Consider the following 24,823-nt stretch of genomic DNA (forward strand, 5'->3'; position numbering starts at 1 on the left):
GAAAAGGCCTCAGATAAAAACATAAGCTTTGCTTTGAAGAAAATACAAGTTATCAAAAAGAATTTGCCTTAAATTATTTTAAGACAAACAAAAGTTACATATCCTGAACAGAAGTAAAATTTGTAACCAACACATTGGAGAAATTGCTCCCATGTAAAGAGAACTGGAAATCTTCTCTGGTCAATAAGACTCTAACTACTGGACAATGGGGTAACTATTATGCTCCTTAAAATAAAGAAGATTTGCTACACATATAGTAACCCAGAGCACACACGTGGGCCTCACAAAAGTACTGAAACTAGAATTTTAAACCAGTAAAAGCCAATGCTTAATGATTCAATGATCAATGATTCCAAGGGCTTCTTTTTTTAAAAAAAATTTTATTTCTAACAGCCTTTGTGGCTTCCTGGTACACTTACTGCACAGGCAAATTAAAAAGGAAAGGGAAATAAATTCTCAACCAATTTTATGCTTCAAAATAAAAGCATAATTATTGGGTAGGGGAAATTAACAATACAATAATTGTTTGGGTATGGGGAAATTCTTCAAATATATTAATATAACACCCTCTTGCCACAACTAAACACCTTACATATTGCAGAAGTAACTTGATTTTTTTCCTGAAATCTTTTAATGAACTTCTTCTTAAATGTTCCACATCAGAGATAATGAAAAGGACTTGATTTTGAAATTTAAAAAGTGACTTACAAACAATAGATAAAGATTCTTGGATCTTCCCATCAACTTCTATAAGTGGGTTGCACGGCAACTTAAACCCATTAAAGAGAATAACTGCATCTTTTATATTTTCTGTAGTCCATTAACTATTGTTAATTGTTGGAATAAAAGCATCATATTCTACAATCAACCAGACAAAGCCAACACTCATGCATATATGGCTTTGGGGTATAACAGGAAATGCTGGCCCCCTCATCCCCTTTACCAGCAAGTACCCCCATCCCTGGGCAGTTGCCAATGCCTTGGTGAACAGTGTACATCCAATAGATAAAAAAGCCCTGGTTCCTTGCCTCAAGAGTAGTGACCTGGATTTACTTTTCAGAGCAAGCAATAGAGGGAGGCGAGGCTAACTGAGAGCATGTCCTCACTTGTCTCTCCACACTCCTCCTTCCCTATCCTGCTTCCCTTTCCTCCGACATGGTTTTCCTGCAGTATATCCGTTTCCTCAATAAACTGCATGTACCGAATTCCTGTCTCAGGATCTGCTTCTAGAAAACTTGACCTAAAACCAAGATAGGAAATTTAGAAATCTCTTCATTATTATGTTTCTGTCTAATTAAGAAATTCTGGTTTCTTCCCTTGTTACTTCAGATCAGTGAAATACAGAGTAGCAAAACTAATGAAGAAGCATGAGAAATTAAAAAGGACAATTCATTCCTTCCTCCCAAACTCATATCCAGTGTGGTCTATTCCTAGCATCCAGGATCTCCTGGAGCACCTCCAGTTTTTATTCTTTTAAAGCTCAGGCCAATCCAAAGAAACACGTACCTTTGCAAACCACTTGGTAATTGGTACAGCAGTCTCCCCTGGCCAAGCAGTCCTCTGAGCAGTGACAGGCATTTTCTTCATTTCTGACTTCTCCACATCTGTCCTTAGTACACTCCCAGCCACGGGCTAAAATCATCCCAATAAAACATTTTCACTGCTGCACACTAACCAAATGAAAGAAGCCACAATTGCTTACAGGATTTCCAATGAAGAAAGCTAAAATCTCACATCATTTACTCTGCTTGTGAAATTTGAGTTGGCTTGAGGCCCAGAGGACATTTGGAGAATTTACAGATAAGATGAATTTCTAAGTTTTCAAATCAGAGAACAACATCAAAATGCAATTGGGTTCCTTTGGAAAAATGGGGCCCTGAAAGGCAAGCAAGTATCCCTACGATTCTCGAATTGTCCTAAAGGACCCAACAAATTTATGACATCAAAGGTTTATGATAGGGCTATCTACTGTTGTAGGGACAGCCTCTATAGCTTGGCTCTTTTAATTTCTGAAGTGGGTGTGCTTAGCTTTATTTTTATTTTATTTATTTATTTATTTTTGACAGAGTCTTGCTCTCTTGCCCACTCTGGAGTGCTGTGGCGCAATCTCGGCTCACTGTAACCTCCGCCTCCCTGGTTCAAGCGATTATCCCGCCTCAGCCTCCTGAGTAGCTGGGATTACAAACATATGCCATCACGTCTGGCTAATTTTTGTATTTTTAGTAGAGACGGGGTTTCACCATGGTGGCCAGGCTGGTCTCAAACTCCTGACCTCAGGTGATCCTCCCACCTTGGCCTCCCAATGTGCTGGGATTACAGGCATGAGCCACAGCACCTAGCCTAAAGTAGCTGTGCTTAGCGTTAATCAGTGTGATTCAAACACAAATAACAGGACAACTACATGGTTTCTATCTGCACCTGGAGGTTAAAGTCCTAAATAGGATGTGAAGAGTATAAAGGGGGCATTACAATGTTTGCTCAAGATTCTAACCACTGACCCATTGTGGTCCTACCTACAATGACAGGTCAGAGTTCCTACTTTCAAGCCAAGTAAATGGGTTACAGATTTCCCTCTGAACATACCTGATTGACAGCTCACTGCTTAATTCTTACATTTCAGAAAAACAACCTTTCCATTTTAAAAGGAGTGCTGTGTTTTTTGACTTTTTCATCTGCTAGAGTGTAAGCGCCATGGCAGGAAAAGTGACACCTCTCTCTTCGCTCTTCTATTTCCAGTGGCAGACTGTAAGCCTGGGAGACTGCGCCTGGCACATGCTAGGTGTTCAATCAATATGTATTAAATTGAATTGGAAATGACCATGGAGATAAAATATAACTCTTTAAATTCAGAACTACTCTATTGAGAACTTTCATAGTTAACTCATTTACTCATTGACTCTTATACCATGTTTTCCGTGTTCTCGGTGCCAGGATGTCATAAAGAACAGGAGAGACTAGGTCTGTCTTCATGGAGCTTACATTCCAATTGGAAAAGACAGATCATAGGCAAGTAAATCAATAAGCAAGATCATTTCAGCTTATGCCAAATGTTGTGAAGGAAGTAACAGGTGGCATTGATAGAGAAAGATAGGGTGAAATAGGTGCTACTCCAGGAAGTAGAATGGTCAAGAAAGGTGTCACTGAGCTAAAATACATATGAACACTTCAGGTCTTTATCTCTTAAAATATGTGATAAGTGGAAAGAAATGATTTTTAAAGCAATCCTGCCTCTTAGTAATATTCTACCAAGAGAAACAACTATTGTTAGGTGAATACATTAATAAAGAGATATTACGGGCCAGGCTCAGTGGCTCATGTCTGTAATCCCAGCACTTTGGGAGGCCGAGGCAGGTGGATCGTGAGGTCAGGAGTTCGAGACCAGCCTGGCCAACATGGTGAAACCCCGTCTCTACTAAAGATACAAAAAATTAGCCGGGCATGGTGGTGCATGCCTGTAATCCCAGCTACTCAGGAGGCTGAGGCAGGAGAATCGCTTGAACCCAGGAGGCAGAGGTTGCAGTGAGCCAAGATCATGCCATTGCACTCCAGCATGGGTGACAGGAGGAGACTCCATCTAAAAAGATTAAAAAAGAGAGAGAGATATTAGTTGTTTGGCATAACTGCTACCCCTGCCCCTTTTGGTAAATCATTAGCCAGAAAACCATGCAATTACTATTTAATTTTTATTCTTTTAGAATTACCTTTGCATCCTGATTCTGCTGTCTGATATTTTTTGTTGTTTTGTTTTGTTTTTTTGAGACAGAGTCTCACTCTGTCGCCTGGGCTAGAGTGCAGTGGCATAATCTCAGCTCACTGCAACCTCTACCTTTCAGGTTCAAGTGATTCTCCTGACTCAGCTTCCCAAGAAACTGGGATTACAGGTGCCTCCCCCCATGCCTGGGTAATTTTTGTATTTTTAGTAGAGATGGGATTTCATCATGCTGGCCAGGCTGGTCTCGAACTCCTGACTTCAAGTGATCTGCCTCCCTCAGCCTCCCAAAGTGCTGAGATTACAGGCATGAGCCACTATGCCCAGCCATTCTAATTTTTTAATATCCCGTTTCCATTCCTATCTCTTCTCGAGGAGATTAAGTGCTTAGAATTGCTTTTCCCATGACCTGCTCTTCCCAATGATGAGCAATCTTCTAAGGTTGCTTTGACTCTAGATATTGTGGGGTTTTTTCAATTCAAGGTGATTCTATCCACCAATAAACTTTTATTCCACTCCTAATTCCATAAGAAAATCACATCTACATTACTTACAAAAGAATATCATTATTAATAAGCTATGTTTATTGAGGAACTATTGTCTTTATGTACAAATGAAATATAAAATAAATCCAGAGTTTAAAGTGAACTATACACAAAGGACAAGTCAGTCATCTGTGTAATTTTCAAAGCAAACATGGGAATAAACATAAAAAATATTTAACCTTATTGGAAAATAAGGAGGAGGTCACCTACCAGATTATTTTAAAAATATTTTTAAAAATAAGAGTATTCAATGCTGAAAAGGAAGTGATGAAAGGTCCTTGTGTCCTTTAGTAGAAACATAAACTTTCAGAAGTATAATTTAGTAATGTATATTTAAATTTAAAAAAAATGCACATATACTTTGACCCCAAAATCCCACTTCCAAAAATTTATCTTAAGGAGAATAGGCAAAAGTATGAATATGCATCAATTATATTCATTGATACATCATTCATAATAGTAAAACTCAGGGAAATATTCATTTAATTACTCAATGAATTAGGTTGCAACAGTTCAATGGAATATTACATAGCCATTCAAAAGGACGATTTGTATAAAGATTTATTAATACAGATACTTTCGCACACATGCATATATATACACACAGTTGGAAGAGTATACATGCACACATAGATACATACTGAAAACACACACACACAGAGTTATCAAAGTTTCGCTGAAACATTGTGGTTGTTTCTCGGCAGTGCTCCCTCAACAAAGGAGAATCTCAGAGCCTTTTGTTTTTCTATTCATCCTTTTATTATTATTTGATATTTGATTCCTTCACATTCAGGATATGTTATCTTTGTACACAGGGAAATGGACTATAAGATATTATATCCCATCCTTAATAAATTGAGGAACAAAGGCATGAACTACATTCAAAAGAGAGCTAAGCTAGAGTCAGGGATTCATTACATTTTGCAAAGAATTCTAAGACCAGGAATCCAGAAGTTTGATATGACATGCCACAGACAAGATATTCAAGGTAAGGAGGAAACATAAAACATTAGTAAATTCCTCAGTGCCAAGCAAACACAGATTGCTGGCTTGAAATAATGTTTTAGAGCCAAAAAAACTCTGCTGGAACATCTGTTCCATCTATACATTCAGTTTACAATAGTCTCAGCAATTTAGTTTGCAGATCCACAATTAAAAGAAACTGGGAGAAGTTCCAAAGGAAAGCAACCCCCAAAAAAGTGGTTAAATGGTTGGAAAATGTGTTCTGCAAAAAACAGCCTAATGAAGCTGTTCTTATTGCAGGGACGCAGGAGGAAAACAAATCAGAACTAGTAAGGAAGTTTATGTTGGATTTCATATAAATCAAGAGCTACCACTTAGGCAAAACACAGTAATAACTGTTTCTAATGATAAAATTTGAAAGATCAAACTAATAGCAATGATAGTAAGAGTTAGGTCTTTGAAAGAATTGTCTAAGCATAAAAGTCCAAAAACAAGAAATAACCTGCCAAGGAAACCATGGAAACTGCTTCTGGTGATGTCAAGAACAGCATTGACGGTTGTCTTTCTCAGATAGTTTGTGTATGGTGTTGTCCAGAAGCATGGTGGATAGCTTACAAGATATCTCAAAAATCCTATCTGAAATATTGTGCTTTGAAAACAGAGTAGGTGGGATGGCAGAAGTCCCCAGAGGTGTTTTTCTCAACTCATGTGCATTCATACAGAAGCCTGTACATCCTAGTAACTGTTCCAGCACAAAAGAAATGTAAAGAAAGTCACAAAAAGTGTGGAGGAAGATTTTAGAGCTACCCAGAGCGTGAGACTCCAAACAGAATTCCATAACAATTTTCCATTTGCAGACGGCAGGGAATGACAGGCACACTAACAGTTACTGTACGATAAGATGAAGTGAAACAAATGCTAGAAGCTGGGAAAGCAAGAAAAAAAATTTTTTTAAAGAATGTACACAATTAGGCCAGGCACAGTGGCTCACTCCTATAATCCTAGCACTTTGGGAGGCTGAGGCGGGAAGATGGCTTGAAGCCAGGAGTTCAAGACCAACCTGACCAACACAGTGAGATGCTATCTCTTAATAAATAAATAAGTAATAAAAAAGAACATACACAATTTTAGCCCACAAGCCCTAGCAGTGAATGTGGGAATTGACAGAAAGATATAGAAAGGATGAAGGTGAAGAAACAAAAACAAAAACAAAAAACATTTGCAAAACCAGCACATCATGACTGCAGCTGCAAAGAACCTTTCTCTGCTGGAACCTATGTGGAAACAATGGTCATTGACATAGGGTATGCTCTTCAAAGAACCAATAATCATTCAACAAACAAAACTAGAATCCACAGTTTGGATAGACCAAAGCAGGGTGGCCACTCCAGGATGCATACAATAGCAGGCAGTCTTTAAGCCATCTACTTGAAGGTAGAGAGGACTCATAAGTTACGTACCTGTCTTCAAACACAGCTCATCAAAGTCATGGCAGCAACTGGTATAGCTCTTACACAAGTTGTCACAGCGACAATCAGGAGGTCCAGCCTCTTGAAGTTCAAAGCACCTGCCCTTGCAAGATCCGGAGATGTTGGTCCAGGGGGAGTCTGATAGCACTGCAAAGAACAAGAGGCAAAAACAATGGACTGGAGAGTGGTCATGTCACCATGGAAAGGTGGCACTGGGAAGCTGTGCGGTGTGATGCTGCAGTGGACTCTGGAGGAGAACACTGGCTCCATTACTTACTACCCATGTACTCTGGGCAGGTTGCCCAACTTCCTTGTTCTACGATTTCCTCATCTGTAAAGTGGGGGACTCATAAAAGTAACTCTATGTTGAAAAGAGAATTAAATGAATCAATCCATGTAAAACACTTAGCCGCATGTCAGACATATAGAAAGAGTAACAAGTGTTGGTGATTTGTTCAATTACTATTTATAATTATTATTACTGCAAATCTGTGATGATTAGTGCCCCTGTGGGTGCTAACGATGACCACAGAGAACAGTACCTTGATCTATATCCTTAGAAACAAGAGAGCATGTCCCTATTTAAAAATCCAAAACTTTTTACAAGGAAAATTCAGCTCAAATGTTCCAAGAACAGAACGAATATATGAGATTGGAATAGAAGACTTTTACAGTTTCAGCTAGTGTTTTACAAATACAAGCTCTATAATCTGGGCTTCTCAAAAAACTCCTCCATCAATATTTTCACATGATATAGGTGTATATCAGAAATCAAAAGAATCAACTAAAATTTGGGGAAAAAAAGAATTCAGTGAGATCAAAATTCCACAAATTTGTAATATGCACACAATATAGTTTCAAAATTAAACAGAAGTTTCATTCTCAATAGGGCCTAAATGATAAAATAGCTAGGTATTTTATTTGGTATAAATTTAATCATATGTATGTAGAACCAACATACATGAGAAAAGTCTACCAAAAAAAAAATTTTTAAGATCTAATTAAGGTGGGGGCAAGGTGCCTCATACCTGTAATCCCAGCACTTTGGGAGGCCGAGGTCGGTGGATCATCTGAGGTCAGGAGTTCGAGACCAGCCTGGCCAACACAGTAAAACCCAGTCTCTACTAAAAATACAAAAATTAGCCCAGCGTGGTGGCAGGTGCCTGTAATATCAGCTACTCGGGAGGCTGAGGCAGGAGAATTGCCCGAACCTGGGAGGCAGAGGTTGCAGTGAGCAGAGATCGCACTATTGCACTCCAGCCTGGGTAACAGAGTGAAACTCCGTCTTAAAAATATATATATATATATATATATATGATCTAATTAAAATGAAAGACATACCACCTTAAAGGTAAAAATATCAATATTATAAAAATATTAATTCTTCCTAAACAAACCAGAAGACTCAGTGCAATCACAGCCAAAAATACTGAGAGTTCATGAAACTTGAAAAAATTTTAAACACTTATTTAAAAATAAAATATTTTAAAATAGAAAACCTCTGAAAAGGAAAAGTAATTTGATAAAGACTAGATAGCAAAGTATATTCTGAAGTTAAATAATCAAAGTAGTCTGATACTAGAAAATAAGTAGATTAATGTTGTGGATGGGAGCCAATCAGTAAGTAGGGACTATAAATAATTAAGTTAGGGTCTCATCTCAATATACAAAATAATTTCTGCTAAATGGAAAATATAAACAGCCTCATAACTGTTTCCAGGAATTAAAATTTTTGTAAAGTAGAATATAATTTAGAAAGACCTATCAACATGTTTAAATGCTTATAAATGTTTCACCCAGAAATTCTATTACTAGAAATTTACCATTTACACATATTTGCAAAAGTTTGCCAAGCTACATGTACAAAAAATGTCCATTGTTCATTGCAGTCCTTTTATTACAGGTAAAGAGATCCTGAAATCAACCAAAGTTGTTTTTCCCGTCAAGAAAGAAAGAATCGCTATATCCATAAGTGGACTATTGCACCGTAAGAGGACTATTGCACACTCCTTAAAAAGAATGAGTCAGATCGGTGTAGGCTAATATGGAAAGATCTACAAAATATATAAATAAGTTGTTTAAAGAATAAATACAGGATAGAGTGTTATATATTAGACTTTGTGTTTAAAAATAGAGATAAACAGGGCAATAAGGATAGAAATGAAGATAGAAATAAAAACAGAGCCAAAACTAGAGACGAGTGAGAGACAGGGTAGGGCAGAAGGAGGGAGAAAATGTCCAAGTTTGCATCACGTTTTTAAAATGCAGGTGTGAACAAACTTTTTCCTTCTGTAAGAAACAGGTTATGGAATTACATTTAGGGAAAATGAGAAAGAAAGAGGAAGAAGATTTTTACCTTCCTGATGTTTGAAATTTCTAACATTCTACAAATTCACAGGTAGTTGCCTGGTCTTTTTGTTTGCTTACTTACTTTCTCTTTCCTTCTCTCTCATTATATATAAATACCATACAATATATGTGCGTGTGGGTATGTATATTTATGTACAAAATATATACTGTATAATATATGTCTGTGTGGGTATGTATACATATGCACAAAATATATGTCATATATGTATGTGTGGGTATGTGTATATGTACAAAATATATACCGTATAATAGATGTGTGTGTGGGTATGTATATATATGTACAAAATATATACCATATAATATATGTGTGTGTGGGTATGTGTATATATGTATAAAATATACCATATATGTAAATATCCTAACAAATATTATTGACATGCGATTTATAATTTTATTTTCTTATTTACATGCTTATGAATTTTTCATTTTTTATAATTCATGTTTTACTTTTAAAATCAAGAAAAAGCAAGAAGCAGGAGAAGAACAGATGTTAAATGTCACTTCTAGGTTCACCCAAGCCATTTATCTGAACATTCTGCTCATCCCTTAGTCCTTTGTCCTCGTTAAAGTCTTAAAGTCAGAGTCATCCAATCCCAGCCTTTATGGCATCAGATCAGTTCAACTAAAGCAAACAGATTTACCAGATCATGAGATGTGAAACACTTTTGCATGGTTGCTCCTAGGATTTTGAAAGACATACAAACCGTACGAGTTCAGTTTAGAAAATAATATTCATTTCCAATGCAGTGGTCCATAAAGCACATTTTTCTATTGTCTTTGACCAACCTATCAACAGTGCATGCTGAACCATAAGAAACCATGGAGGCAGGAGGGGTTGAGAAGTAAAACAAAAAAAAAATTACAAAACAGAAAAAAATAGAGAAAGTCCTACAGTAAAAATAAATATAAGGAAAGTACTTACAATTGAATATTCCTTAAGGATACTGCTTAGATAGACTCATTTCAACAGCGTTCTAGTAAATTTTCAGTAGAATTCATTCCCACGAGCTGCTTAAATAAATAAGCTTAGCTATGCTGATAGCTGAGATACTTCAAAGAGATCTAAAGGCAATTTGTTTACAGATGTGCGGTGTTCCTGCATGCATTTGAAATTGTCCTGCAACCACGCGCCTTGCTTTCCTTCATCATCATTTCTTCCCTATTTCTTTCTTTTTTTTTTTTGAGACGGAGTTTTGCTCTTGTTGCCCAGGCTGGAGTGCAATGGTGTGATCTCGGCTCACTGCAACCTCTGCCTCCCGGGTTCAAAGGGTTCTCCTGCCTCAGCCTCCTGAGTAGCTGGGATTAGAGGCACCCACCACCATGTCCAGCAATTTTCGTATTTTTAGTAGAGACAGGGTTTCACCATGTTGGTCAGGCTGGTCTTTAACTCCTGACCTCAGGTGATCCACCTACTTTGGCCTTCCAAAGTGCTGGGGTTACAGGCTTAAGCCACCACATCCGGCCTATTTCTTTCTTTACTTTCAGAGTATCTGTGTGAATTTTTAGCCACATTTAATCTTTCTTCACTCATTCACCTGATTTTTACTATTTTCTTACAACATTAATCATTCTCTAAATTTGTCCTTTGCTTTGTTTTTGGAAAATAATTGAATCTCACTTAATAGTCGGTCCCTATCAGTTACAGTTCTTGCCAAACCTAAAGACAAGCAAAACTAAAGACAACTTTGTTAGAGTTAGCCTTACACTCATAATGCCAAGATGTATCTCAAAAGAAGTACTGTACTTAAGATCAAGTTATTGACAGCTTCAAATTAGGGTATACTCCTGGGGCTGGGTGGATTAGGATATACCTATGTCAAAATTCATTCTCGGATGATTTGAATTCAGCTGAGAATGACAGGAAAGAAAAAGGGAAGGTAGTTTGAGCCATATAGAACCTCTTATAAACCAATAACCCAAATAAATTTGAGCTGCTATCTCTTTTTTTTTTTCTTTTTTTTCTTTTCTGAGACGGAGTTTTGCTCTTGTCACCCAGGCTGGAGTGTAATGGTGCGATCTCGGCTCACTGCAACCCCCGCCTCCTGGGTTCAAGTGATTCTCCTGCCTCAGCCTCCCGAGTAGCTGGAATAACAGGCACCCGCCACTATGCCCGGCTAATTTTTTGTATTTTTGGTAGAGACGGGGTTTCACCATGTTGGTCAGGCTGGTCTTGAACTCCTGACCTCGTGATCCGCCTGCCTTGGCCTCCCAAAGTGCTGGGATTACAGGTGTGAGCCACTGCGCCCAGCCATGCTGCTATCTTTTTTTTTTTTTTTTTTTTTTTTTTTTTTGAGACGGAGTCTTGCTCTGTCACCCAGGCTGGAGTGCAGTGGCGCAATCTTGGCTCACTACAAGCTCTGTCTTCTGGGTTCACACCATTCTCCTGCCTCAGCCTCCTGAGTAGCTGGGACTACAGGTGCCCACCACCATGCCCGGCTAATTTTTTGTATTTTTAGTACAGACCGGGTTTCACCGTGTTAGCCAGGATGGTCTCGATCTCCTGACATTGTGATCCGCCCACCTTGGCCTTCCAAAGTGCTGGGATTACAGGCGTGAGCCACCACGCCCAGTCTATCTCTTTTAAATAAAATACAGTGAGTGTATGATGACACTCAGTAATGCCACACACTCCTGTGTGCAATGGAAAAGACCATCTTGATGAGTGTACAAAAAAAATAAACAAAATGATTAAATTAACAAATAAATAAAATAGAACAATAGAGTGGAATATTCACTCTGCCTTTCCAGGGTCTATTCCGTCCCAGCCATCTTCTTTCACGACAAGCTCTAGTCCCAACTGTTTTCCTAGGAGTTCTGCAATCCACCTTCATATTCTTTTTTTAATCATTTTTTATGGATGAATAATAGAGGTACATAGTTTTGGGGTGATAATACATTCATGTAGTTGATAAAAATCAAGTCAGTATACTTGGAGTCTTCACGTTCCCTGTCCTTCTCCCTACACCCAGCCTAAGATGTTTAAAATCAAGAAAAATCAAGAAGCAGAAGGAGAACGATGTTAAATGTCATTTCCAGGCTCGCCCAAGCCATTTATCTGAACATTCTGCTCATCCCTCAGTCCTTTGTTCCTGCATGCATTTGAAGTTTTTAGGACTTCTCTCTTTATTGTACCTGACGTAATGTCAAATAGGGAAAGATTATCCGATTTGTTAGAAGTCTGAGTTTTAAAATCTGTTGTCTTCCTTTACTTGACCTAAATCAAGAGAACATTGATGTAAGCACTTCAGATGTGTAACTTATTGAGAGGCGGGATGAAAACTGAAACATCAACAAACTTGTGGTATCCCAAATTTTTCATCATTACTGAGATGGCCGTAACAGCGCAGAAAACAACTAAAACAAACAAAAAGTACTCTCCAAATGTATCAAGGCAGAAATATGTGATAAGTATGATGGAGGCTTGAAATTTCTTATGAGGCATTTGCTAATACCTTTATGAGATTCAAATTCTATTGCCGCCTTTTAAAATACATATTCAAATGATGTTATTTTACTTCAAAGATGCAAGTCAGTTCCAGAATCTTGAAAAACAAATGTTCATAGCTTTATATAGTGTTCTTTTAAAAAATAGAAACCTCAAATTTTAAAATACACATAGGTACATATATGACATGTATAACAACAATGCAATGCATTTCTTATTTTTCACAGAAGCATAATTTCATGATTTAAAGAAACACCAATGTAAAACATACGTTATTTCATTCAAATTCATAATTCTGACAGAAACAGGTACAATTACTTTTACTTAAGTCAACTTTATGTCTAAAATATTCCATCTTACAATATGTATAGAGAGGTAGGGTTGTAGAATTCTAGTGCCGGCCGGGCACGGTGGCTCACGCCTGTAATCCCAAGACTTTGGGAGGCCAAGGTGGGCCGATCACCTGAGGTTGGGAGTTCAAGACCAGCCTGACAAACATGGAGAAAACCCATCTTTACTAAAAATACAAAATTAGCCAGGCATGGGGGTGCACACCTGTAATCTCAGCTAGGGCTGAGGCAAGAGAATTGCTTGAGGTGGAGGTTGCAGTGAGCCGAGATCATGCCATTGCACTCCAGCCTGGGCAACAAGAGCGAAACTCCATCTCAAAAAACAACAACAACAAAAGAATTCTAGTGCCATCTGTTCCATAAGATACAACAAAACTATTGATGATTTAAATTTTTGGAAGGAGCCTAACCGATGACAAAAGTTATGGCCAAAACATTACTTGATCTAAGGCTCCCAATCATATTTCCCTCTAAATGTCCCCCGTAAAGATGCAAATACTCAAATCTGGATGATGGCCAATAGAAGAGGCAGTATTTAAGTTTGGAAACATTTAGCTTAGCCTAAAGGGGGAAGGTTCTTCTAAGCTTTGTCTGCTCCTGTTTATGATACTGCTCTCTATCTGTTCCTCCCATTCTCCTTGGTTCTTAGCCCAGGTATTTCCTGAAAGTGAGAGCAAAACCTTAAAATGTGTTACCAGCTGTGGTTATACCAGCTCCTTTTCTCAAGAGCGTTAAAACAGGACAAGTTCCCTTATGTCTGCTGCCCTGTTTGAAGCATAACCCACAGGGCAAGGCAGAGGACAGTGTGCGTGGCATTCAAGATGCTGCCCAGCTCTAGAGTTAATACTGTATTATGCCTCTTCTGGAGTATATGGTTCGTTCTTTCTGGTCATACTTTTTTCGTATTGAATTTGCCATTTTTTATTGATGCTTCTGACCTCATTTTTTAGTAAATAGAACTTACACACAGGTCTACATGTCAGTATCTTTGCTTCCTAAATACATAACTTTTTATAAATATCCATTACTGCAACATCACTGTTCTCTCCTCTTCACAGCTGCTAGGCCAGATTTCATAAACTTTTTTTTTTTTAATAAAGAGGTCCACCTGGGAAGTTTTTAAACACCTGTGCTTTCAAAACATTTATAAACACAATGGTCTGACCTGCCTCGGTGACTCATGCCTGTAATCCTAGCAATTTGGGAGGCTGAGGCGAGTGGATCACCTGAGGTCAGGAGTTCGAGAGCAGCCTGGCTAACATGGTGAAACCTCATCTCTACTAAAAATACAAAAATTAGCCTGGCGCGGTGGTGGGCGCCTGTAATCTCAGCTACTCGGGAGGCTGAGGCAGGAGAATCACTTGAACCTGGGAGGTGGAGGTTGCAGTTAGCTGAGATCACGCCACTGCACTCCAGTCTGGGTGACAGAATGAGACTCTCTCTCAAAAAATAAATACATACATACATACATACATACATACATACATACATACACACAATGTCCTCATATAGAGCTCACAAACTAGAAGGAAAAAAAAAGATTTCTACGTAATTGAAGTTAAAAGTTAAAAACTTTACTTCAACATCTAAACCACTTAAATAGAATTTAATGGCCATCAGTAGCATAAATCTGAATGATTTGCACATCTGCTACCAAACAATAAAATGTTGTCATTTAAAATTAAAGGTATTGTTAACTCAATAAGGTATAAGTTTAAACACTGGCCTTCAAACCTAATTGAAGATTAATTAAATGAATTATCATATACTTAACACCTTATAGTTCTCATCAGCCTTAAAGGCATTTTCAAAAACTTTTTCAGATAAATAAAAGCGACTTTATCCCCATTTTCCTGGTTGGAAAATTAGATCTCTAGGCCTTGTATGAGTTAGCCAAGGCCTGGATAAAATTTTAGATCATCTCACTGTAACTACAGTATTTTTTTCATTAATGAAAGGTTTTTCAAACTTTTGTACATAGTTTTCAAATTTTAGAAGTTCTTTTCAAAATATAATTTTGGGGAAGATTTGCTGATTTTATTGATTCAAAAATCTAGGCTGAAGTTCATGGAAGACTGAGATTTCTGAGTATGTAAACTAGATAGAGGAGTCTCTACAGTTTTCAGATAGATGAAAAATCACTACACTACAGCCCCATTTAACAAAGAACTGAAAAATCTGTACCCTCCTTAGCTTCCAGTTCAGATAATTTCATTCCATTGACTCAAACTCCCCAATTTCTACCTGAAATTTCACATAAAGCCCCATGACAGGATAATCCTAATGACCGAGTTTTGCTCACAGAGCAAATGGCTGATCTACGTCCCCTTTACAGTTTCCTGCATTCTCCCATGCCAACATTTAAATAGCTTTTCATTGCAGAGCAAAATTTCTAAAATTATCAAATGAACATAAACCTTCTCACTTCTAGTTCCATTTTCTGATTTCCCTATGATTCTCAAAGAAAAGCTTTATCCATAAAGTTGTTAGTGACAGTCTACATTTCATATGAACCTATGAATTTCATTCACATACTTTTCAACTTTCCTTTCAAGCCACTAAAAACAATGATGAATTAAACTGAGCTTTTAAGTCTCTGTTAGCCAGCTATTCACAAGCTCACAAATTTCCTTTTGTCTTTTAAGAATTAAATTACTTACATATCAAAGAGGATATTCTATTTCCACCTGGAGACAGTTTCTAAATCACAAGTTTCAATAAAATAGACTCCTGCATAACACCACAAACATACACACTGCAAGTGCACATGAGTGCACAGACACCTGTAGACATATAAAGTCTCTTGCAGTCTTAAAGGCAAATCAAGTGGGCCACATCAGACATATGAGAAAAAGATGTCAAACTAAATCACAGTTATGGCTTATATTTTCTTAGAAAATTTATTCCACCCATCTCACCGTCTCATTAACCTGAATGCCCATTGTATTTACCCAACAGAATTATAAGTAGCTTTTCTCATTTCATATCTCCTAATAAATCTATAAATCTTTTATGACCTGGTATAAAAAATCCTGTTCAGCCATTATTTCCTACGCTAACAATAAATCCAGGTAACAAGTGTGTTAGTTAATTAATTATGACAGTCTGTTTGCACTGCCACAACCTTGAAACTAACACCCCAGTCCATAGTACAGCAGCGAGGGCATCCATGTGTACAGAACATTCTCAGCTATTGTTGAGGACTCTGAGAAGCTATGGTTACTAAACAACTGCATGCTTTTGAATGGTGGATCTCACTCTGATCAATCCGAAGCTAGCCATATATCAATACCCTTTGTGTTCCTTCTATTTGTTGCACCCTTGGAGCACTGAGCTTCCCAGGATTTCTTTGGCGCCTAAAAATGTTGTTGGAAATAGGCATGGCTGCCTCCTCCCCACCTAGTGTCTTATTCTTACAGGCTTATAAAATTCACCCAGTATTTTCTGATGGGAAGGCTTTTCTAATGGTCAGAATAACCAGTCACATGTGTCAATCGAGAGAGATCCTTTCTAAGCATATGCAGCATTTAAACGCATAAAGATATTTCCACTGTCTACAGGATGCTTTTACCTAGTTTACTAAGTACATCCTTGATTTTTATTCAGGAGAAATCAACCACAGTTCCTAAAAAGCACATAAGCTACATCAAAAGAAAAATTATTCAGGCATATCCAAACCATAAAATTCAGAGTTAGGTTGCATTGTATTCTAAGACTAAGCTTCACGTGGTTAGAAGTTTAATAAATTATTTTAGATGATATCATAAAGGCCTAAAATAACCAACGACTTAATTAAATAATTCAAGGAGCAAATTCGTGTAGCCCACTTAAGACCATTTAGGTTTATAAATTATAATATAGACCATACTACTTTTCTAGAAGTGGCATTTATTCATTAGTTCATATAGCTATTCTTATAACATGGAAATAATTTACTATACACAAAATATTTTCAAAGACTAATAAATCCAATCTATACTTTTCAAGTTTTCCAGTAGTGAGCACAGAAATTCAAGAGGCAATGAAACAGAATAATTCCTGGGATTTTTTTTTTTTAATCCAGAAAGAAAAGTAGAAATCATCTAAGTCTGCTCCTCATTGTACAGCTAAGGAAACAGACTTCACAAGTGACTTGCCCAACACCACACAGCAAGTTACAGGACTCCAGGGTACCAGCCTAGGATTTTAATGACTGTTTTCCAAAAGAAGTCACCTTTAAAAATAATGAGTGACTCAATTTTACATTCATTAAGGAAACAGCATTTAATTCTTTCAATCTCAGTTTTAGCCAGAGTAATATATTAAGAGGAAACAGAAAAAAAAAGTTCCCTTTAGTGTTCATTGAAAAGAACCAGCAGTTGGCTCTCAAGTTGCTAGCTTTCCCACATGACCATGCTAAGGATCTGATTCCCCTGTCTGTTCAGTCACAGTCAGTGTTAATGGGAGTGAAAAAGAGGCCTTTGAAGAGAGCATTTGCTGCAAATAAAAACAGCATTCTCTAGCTCAGTGATCCACTGTCCTCTGCCTCCCCAACAGAAGACGACTCATTTTGTCCATTTGGCTCCCTGGGGCTGCAAGTTTTGTGATCTATTTTCTCACTCTTAACCCCGCCACACCCCACTTCAATTCACTAATTCACTTCTAATATTATTCTTTCAACCTACTGGCATGATTCAAAAGTAACTTAATTGATGTAAGGAAGATTTAGTATTCCATCAATGTATGTGTCCTAACCCGGTTGATAATAAAATTTCAAGCTGGCTAAACAGAGGCAAGTGATGGTCTTTCATAACAATCAGATCAAGACATACAGAGAAACACAAAATTCACAGGAAGACAGACAAACATGCTGGAATGTCAGGAAAAGTCCAGAAAATATTGTTCCCTAGAGTGCCCATTACTTAAAATGTAATTTTTTATTTCTAAAACCATCAGCAGCTCCAATTTCCAGGAAATTAACCAACTCATTGCTTAAGACCTGGTCAGTTAAGCCCCCTCTGTCTGCACAAGGAGCTCCTTTATAAGAACACTGTATGGGAACACTACTTATGGTGTAGTGTATTGTAAAAAGAAACTCTTTCACTTTGGTTCTATTATTTAAGTCAAGGTACACTATTAAAACTTACCTTTCCTTTGCCATAAGGACACACAATGAGGACAAATCAATCCTGAAAACTCTTTAAACACCTCCTCTCTTTTATGTTTTTCCAATTTTAAGTAAATCTTAAAGTCCTAAATTTCTGAAGTTTCATAAAGATAGCTCACTGCCTTTTTTACTTCCATTCCTTTTTCCTACATCAGAACTTTCTAGTGGCAAATACTACATCCTATATCATGTGACAGCAAATCAGATTTGGGTAGCTCCAATATTAAACCAACACCTGTTCTCACCACTTCTACTTTAGCCTTGTCTGTGAACAAGAGTTTTAATTGTATCCTAACATTTACAAATTTGAGTACAAAAATGGAAATAGCCAGTTATGAAACAATCATAAATGTTCTCTAATGAAAACCACACTCTCCCACCTGAATTATACACATAGGTGGTTTTACCCAGAGAAATTTAGGACTAACTTAGTTATACTGCAAGATTGTATTAAAAATAAATATTTTAATAAGCTTACATTGATTACCCCGTATGTAATATTTTTAAAAAATTGAAAATGCAAATAGTTTTGACACTTACCTGTAGGAGGACCTTCCTCCCATCCTTCTGCTCTCTTAATTCGATGTGCAGTGAATCCTAAGCAGATATTGACTCCAACGGCAAAAGTGAACAGGGATATTATCTAAGAGAATAAAGAGACCAAGTTGTCAAATACAGCTGGAGAAGACTAAATCAAATTACACAAAGGTGATTCAAATGGCTTCAATATCAACACCCAATCCTACCACTTCCAAAATGCATAATAAGGTGCTATCTTAATTTGCACAACAAAAAGGAAAATGCCAATCAGTCACTGATTCTGAAGATCAAGCATGTCCCCCGTCATTCCTCCGTTCTCCCACCTGACACGACTGGAACGAGCTCCTCCTTGCCATGTCGAGGATTCTTGGAAAGCCTTTTGCAGCGTGTTCTCTTTGCCTTCACGGAGTGCACTGCTTTGAGGCTCTGGGTTTAGTCTATTAACTATAAGCAATCCCACCTGGGAGGTTGACAGACTCCTCTGATTTGTCCAGAGCTTGATTACATCACAGGGTGTTCACAAATCGCAGCTCTGAGCCTAAGAGGCTTAAGCTATCATCCCCCTTATCCCCGCCCCCTTACAGGTCCCTCCCCTAACCCACAGACACTTTCATGTGGTATCCTCTGGCAACAGGAGGGTTTGTTACATTGCCGTGGCCCATAACAGTGCATGTTCATTTTCCTTTCCTCACAAAAACATGGTTTGTCAAAAAGAAACCAAATGCATTTCATCCGATAAAAATGAAAACAGGGCTGTGCAAGGGCTTTCCACCAGCTTTAAGCTTTTAAGGTTTACAATGCAGTCATTCAATGGCGTCAACCTCACCACTTTATTTTTTTAAGCAAGGAAAGTTTTATCATTTATAAACCTAATAACGTTCCTGTCTTTCCCATCTATTTATTTTGCTGGCAGTTTGAGCGACCCTGTCCCTAGTATCACATTCTCAGCTACTTCTGCCTCCTTGAAAGTTTCTCATGATGAAATTTCGCAAAATTGTAACTAACATAAAAGATAACATTATTTTCCCCATGCTGTGGTTCAAGTTTAGAGAAGTAACTTTTATCAAAATACTGGAAATGCCAGCCACGCAGCATAAAGTCCTTCTGCCCTGGGAGGACGGACAAAATAACTTCAGTCTCTGCCTCTTCTTCCCGTAAAGACTGTCAGCTTGTTTCGGGCGGGGCGGAGGAGGGGGCGGTTTTTGAGAGGCAGATGGGTGGGGGAAGGGGATGGCATGGGAAGCTTTATTAGCAATTGAATTTAGGAAGGAAATCTCAATGGCAGCAAGAATTGAAATGTCAAGAATTGTTTCCCTAGTTATTTCTTGGTTAAATGTAGCCACCAAATACTGTGTCCTTTGAGGCTATTGTGGGTACTAAAGTTTCTTTACTAAGCAATTTGGCAACCAGCACACTTTCAAAAGAAAAAATCAAGGGCTCTAAATCTGAAAGTTGTTTAAATATTACATGCCTTCAGGATTCAAATGAGGGAAAAAGATTTGTTTTTGGCCTCTTCCTCAGCAGGTCCAGTGACCATCTTTTCTTCCGCAGCACATGTGTTCGTGCGTAAACAAATACGAGACTTACCATGCAACAAATTAGTAACAGAGTAGTGGCTCTGCTCAAATAAAACATGATAGCACAAAAGCAAAAACTTGTTTATAGGGGGTTGTACAGTAGGCCTGGGTTTCATTACAGATTCTTAGAATCTAGTAATATCTAATTGAAAAAAAGAAAATACACATACTGCCAAACTGTTAATTGCCTTTCTAAAATCCTTTTAGTTTTGCACTGTTGCAAAGAGGACAGGCTTATACATTTTTATATGTAAGCCTCTTGCTTTTGTCTGTATGCCATACTGAACAAATTTGGAGTAGGGTATTTAGCAAGGCTTATAAAAGATGTTAACTCCATGAAAGATTTTCCTATAATTTATGTTAAATTTCAAGATACAAGCCAGACATGATAGAGGAAAACAATAAACCCCAAAGAAAAATATCAAGGCAATCCTGTTATTTCATTATATGCCACAGTGCTCTAAATGTTCTAAAAACAAAAACAGCCTCTTCTTTTGCCTTGCCAGAGTCTAACAACTTTTGACTTTGTCTGATATTTGATTGTATAAACCTAGCTAGAAGACAATGAGGGTTCCCTTGGAAAAAAAGTTAGGGTTCAGGAGCTGAACATCATCCATTTATTTTTCTCTTATATGCAGACTAGCTGGGCAGGGGGAAAAGCTGTAATAGCCAAGTTGATCTGCTTGTTACCCAATATCCAAAAGAGTTGACCTCAGCCACTATTTCTTTGTTTTTTTGTTTTTGTTTGTTTATTTGTTTATTTTGAGATGGAGTTTCACTCTTGTTGCCCAGGCTGGAGTGCAATGGCTCGATCTCGGCTCACTGCAGCCTCCACCTCCCGGGTTCAAGTGATTCCTGTCTCAGCCTCCCGAGTAGCTGGGATTACAGGTGCATGCCAACACGCCTGGCTAATTTTTGTATTTTTAATACAGACAGGGTTTCACCATGTTGGTCAGGATGGTCTCGAACTCCTGACCTCAGGTGATCCGCCCATCTCAGCCTCCCAAAGTGCTGGGATTACAGGTGTGAACCACCGTGCCTGGCCCTCAGCCACTATTTCTGTTAACCGTTCTGCCAAAGAACTTTGTCTTTTACCAGCTTGTTGTGCATAAGGAACATGTTAACATGAACACATACACGCACACACACAAGCATATATGTGCATACACACATCATTTTGCCACAGTTAAACAGATTTTTACTACAAGATTATTGTTATAAATTAACTGTCAGGAGAATGACCAAGATGACCAAAGTCCCTACCTCGGCTATCAAATTAACTACAAAATAAAATTATCCCTCATTACCTAAAGCTGAAAAAAAAAAACAAAAAAAAGCTTCACAGTGCATAAAGTAGGTTAAGAAATTCAACTAAAATGACTGGAATTAGTCCAAAACCTTTTGTAAGAAAACTAAATTATGAGAAGTTCACTTGCTATGGTGTTTAAGATTTTGTAATAAGGACACATGTGGCTGGCTCAGTAAACAAGAAGTGCATAAGAAAGACTGAAAAATTAAATTCCAACATGGTTTATTAGCCCAGCCATATTTCAGAGAACACTGCCCCCTGGCAGAAGAAAACCTAGAACTAGAAACAAATATTTGTCAACAGTCTCAGTCCCTAGAAATCATTCTGTGGTTTTCAAATTTTATTGGGTATCAGAATCACCCTGGAGCCTTGTTTAAAATGCTGATGTTTATGTCCTGCGTATCAAGATCCTGATTCATTAGGTCTGGCAGGTGGGGAGAAGAAAGAGGAGTTTAGAGGTCAGACAAGAACTGGCACAATAGGTTACTTTGATGAAAGTCAGATAAGAACCACGTTTATGGAGATAAGACCTGGTTCCTGCAGCAGACGTGATTGACTGGCTTCAATAATTGTGGTCTGGCAGGAAAATTCAACATAGGGATAAACAAAAAACTATGATTCCCAGATAGGAAAAACTGATGGCTAGAGGATCTTATCCACTGAGAGGAGGAACTTGCAGTTAGATCATTTAAGGTCCTCCTGATTTCAGACATCCAGGCAACGCATAATATAGAGCTTTAATTTTAGGCCATGCTCCACTTGATGCCTTGATCTATTTATAACTGGATGATGACCTGAGACTTCTAGGAAATCTAGAAGTTTTGCTTCTCAATTTCTCCGTTACTTCCTTCTTTGGGGTTTAAACGACTTTTTGGTATACTCTTTTGAATACCCATTTTCAAGCTCACCACTTCTTTCTTCTGCCTGCTCAAATGTACTGTTAAATCACTCTAGTAAATTTTTTTATTTAAGTTAGTGTACTTTTCTGCTCCAGAATTTCTATTTGTTTATTTTTTGAATTATTTGTTTACTGACATACTTTGTTTAGGGAAACATTGTTCTCTTCATTTGCTTTACTTTTTGTTCATGTTTTTATTTTTAGTTTTTTTAATATGCTAACGATGGTTGACATAAAGCCTTTGTCTAATAAATACAATATCTATGTTTCCTCAAAAAAAAGATAAGTACCACATTTGGAGAAGTAGAGCATTATAATAAATTACTCTGAATTAATGTATTTATGCCCTGCATGTTGAATTGTTTGGCCTAATTCATATGGAATTTTAATATGTTATTAATAACATTCACTATTAATTGGACATTAAAGTTTAGATCTCTTAAAAACAAACTGTGGCTTTTCTTCCAGGGGACTCATCTCCAAACTGTAAGAAGCAGAGTAGTATTTTATTTACTTTGCTGGTGACACAAAGCAGTAGTGTGTGTATTGCTTAATTGTAATACAGTAGTTGCATTTATATAAATGCACAGTCTATCTTTTCATGAAATTATTCTATGCGTCCTTGTTCCCTAGCCCTGATGAAGATAAGAAGGCTTGAGGTTAACAGTGAGATTTGAAAGATAAGTGATAGAAGGTTGTCGTTCTTGCTTCCTGAAGTAATTAATTGTCATGAACTGATTGAAACTGTATCTACACCCAGAGTTTCTCATTATGCAGAACTGACATCACTAGATTTAACATTATTCCCAGAATAATCCTAAGATTATGTATGATGTTAGATAATTATTAACCATGTCATTTTCTGTAGTATCATTTAGCAGTAACTATAGCGCATACACTACAAAAGTAAGAAAACACCATATATATTCTTCTTATTCTATCTTAAAAGTCTGTTGTCCTGTTTTTAAGTTTTGCTGTGGTTGAGAACTATTAGAAAATTCAGATAAAAACTGGACAACAGTCTTTGCAAAAGGATTTACTAGTCTAAACTGAGCAGAAAATTTTGATGGCTAATAGAGGAACAAGCTGGCTCAATTGCTCCCACAATCCAGGACTGCAAACATGTATAAGTCTTACAGTTACAATTCTAAACCACAAAAGCAAAGTTTTATGGGTAGTCTATGGTCCCACAGGATTCTCCAGTAGAAGAACAGCATATACCTGTTCAAATGCAAACTAGACTTGTGCTATTAATTGTTACACAGTCGAAAGCTGACATCAACACTGTTGCAACTTTCAATGACTTTAACTTATGGCATAAATTTTATGCATTACATTTACTCCCTATGGAATCTACACATGAGCCCCGACACCAGAATAATCTCTGCCCTGTATGAATGTTGCACAAATATTCATTAGCTTCTACAAGGTACCAAGCACTCTTCTGGGAACTGGTCGTACTACATAGGGAGCTGACCCACACATAGCTCCTGCTCTCCACATTAATCAAGTAGACACAGAAATAAATGTAAAATTACAACTGTGGAAAATGAAGAAATATAGAGGTAAATCATGATTTGAGCAAATATCATTCAGATTACCTAGTCAAGAGGGTCAGAGAAGAATTTGTGGAGTAAGTGTTCATTGAGCTGCGATTGGAAGGGTGTGTGGGAGTGAGTAACCAGATTAAGAAAGGAGCAAAGACTTCTAGACAGAGGAGAGAGAACAGGCAAAGATCCTGTGTAAGATGGAGGTATGGCACATCCACGAGACAAAAAGGCAGCCAGTTTGACTAGTGCAGGGAGAGCAGAAGTGAGTATAGAGAGAAGTGAGACTGGAGAGGTTAACAGAGGCCGGTCATGTGGGGCCTCCGAGGTCATGTTAGGTGATATTGTCTTTACCCTAAAGGCAACAAAAAGCCCTTAAAAGGCTTAAGCAGGGGGAGGCTTAATCAGATTTTGAAGCATTAATCTCTGCACGGTGTAGATATGAATCAGAGGGAGTCAAGAATGGATATAGCAGATCAGTTTGGAAACTCTGGCAGTAAGCCAGACAAAAGATCATGACAGCTTACACAGAGGAGGCTATGGCGGCGTGGAGAGGAAGACAAGTGGGGGAGTTAGGAAAAAAGACTTTTTAATGAACTGGATATGGGAGTTGAGGGGCAGGAAGGTATTAAGTATGACTCCTGAATTAATAGATACTTAATGATTATGATGACCATATATATACTCAGTGAAGTCACTTCTTTTCAATTAGATCATAAGAAAGACATGGGGATAGGTATCCATTTGCTAACACCCTAGAATTAAATAGTTACAATAAGGGACAGAGCTAATAGCTTTAAACCATTTTCTGCTGTGACTGGAGATTACTAAAATATATATATATATATATATATATATATATATATATATACACACACACACACACACACACATATAGATATATATATATATATACACACACACATATATATATACTGGACTTTAAACACTAAAA

At 37.6% G+C, this 24,823-nt stretch overlaps 1 protein-coding gene across 13 annotated transcripts in view, besides 1 other annotated feature; it reads right to left on the bottom strand.

Annotated features, from left to right (window-relative positions):
- The window catches only part of ENPP2 (ectonucleotide pyrophosphatase/phosphodiesterase 2), a 116,305-nt gene that overhangs the window by 62,802 nt on the left and 28,680 nt on the right, over positions 1 to 24,823 (bottom strand). For 8 of the 13 annotated variants that reach the window (XM_017013575.2, XM_017013572.2, NM_001040092.3 and 5 more), the window contains exons 1-4: positions 18,861 to 18,952; positions 18,538 to 18,640; positions 6,678 to 6,833; positions 1,507 to 1,632 (exon numbers count right to left, since the gene is read on the bottom strand). In XM_017013575.2, coding sequence (XP_016869064.1) covers positions 1,507 to 1,632; positions 6,678 to 6,833; positions 18,538 to 18,640; positions 18,861 to 18,893 — 418 coding nt within the window. In that variant the 5' untranslated portion in view covers positions 18,894 to 18,952. Of the gene's footprint in view, positions 1 to 1,506; positions 1,633 to 6,677; positions 6,834 to 18,537; positions 18,641 to 18,860; positions 18,953 to 24,823 lie in introns of those variants that run through there. The other 5 variants (XM_024447182.2, XM_017013573.2, XM_017013574.2 and 2 more) reach the window with 1 other exon arrangement.
- Positions 19,068 to 19,167: a silencer, noted in NCBI's record as "silent region_19482". NCBI's record gives its function as "represses an Ori minimal core promoter by ATAC-STARR-seq in GM12878 lymphoblastoid cells {active_cell/tissue: GM12878}" and the evidence as "EXISTENCE:reporter gene assay evidence [ECO:0000049][PMID:35858748]".

This window comes from Homo sapiens, chromosome 8 (genome assembly GCF_000001405.40).
Source record: "Homo sapiens chromosome 8, GRCh38.p14 Primary Assembly".
In the NCBI taxonomy this organism is placed as follows: domain Eukaryota; kingdom Metazoa; phylum Chordata; class Mammalia; order Primates; family Hominidae; genus Homo; species Homo sapiens.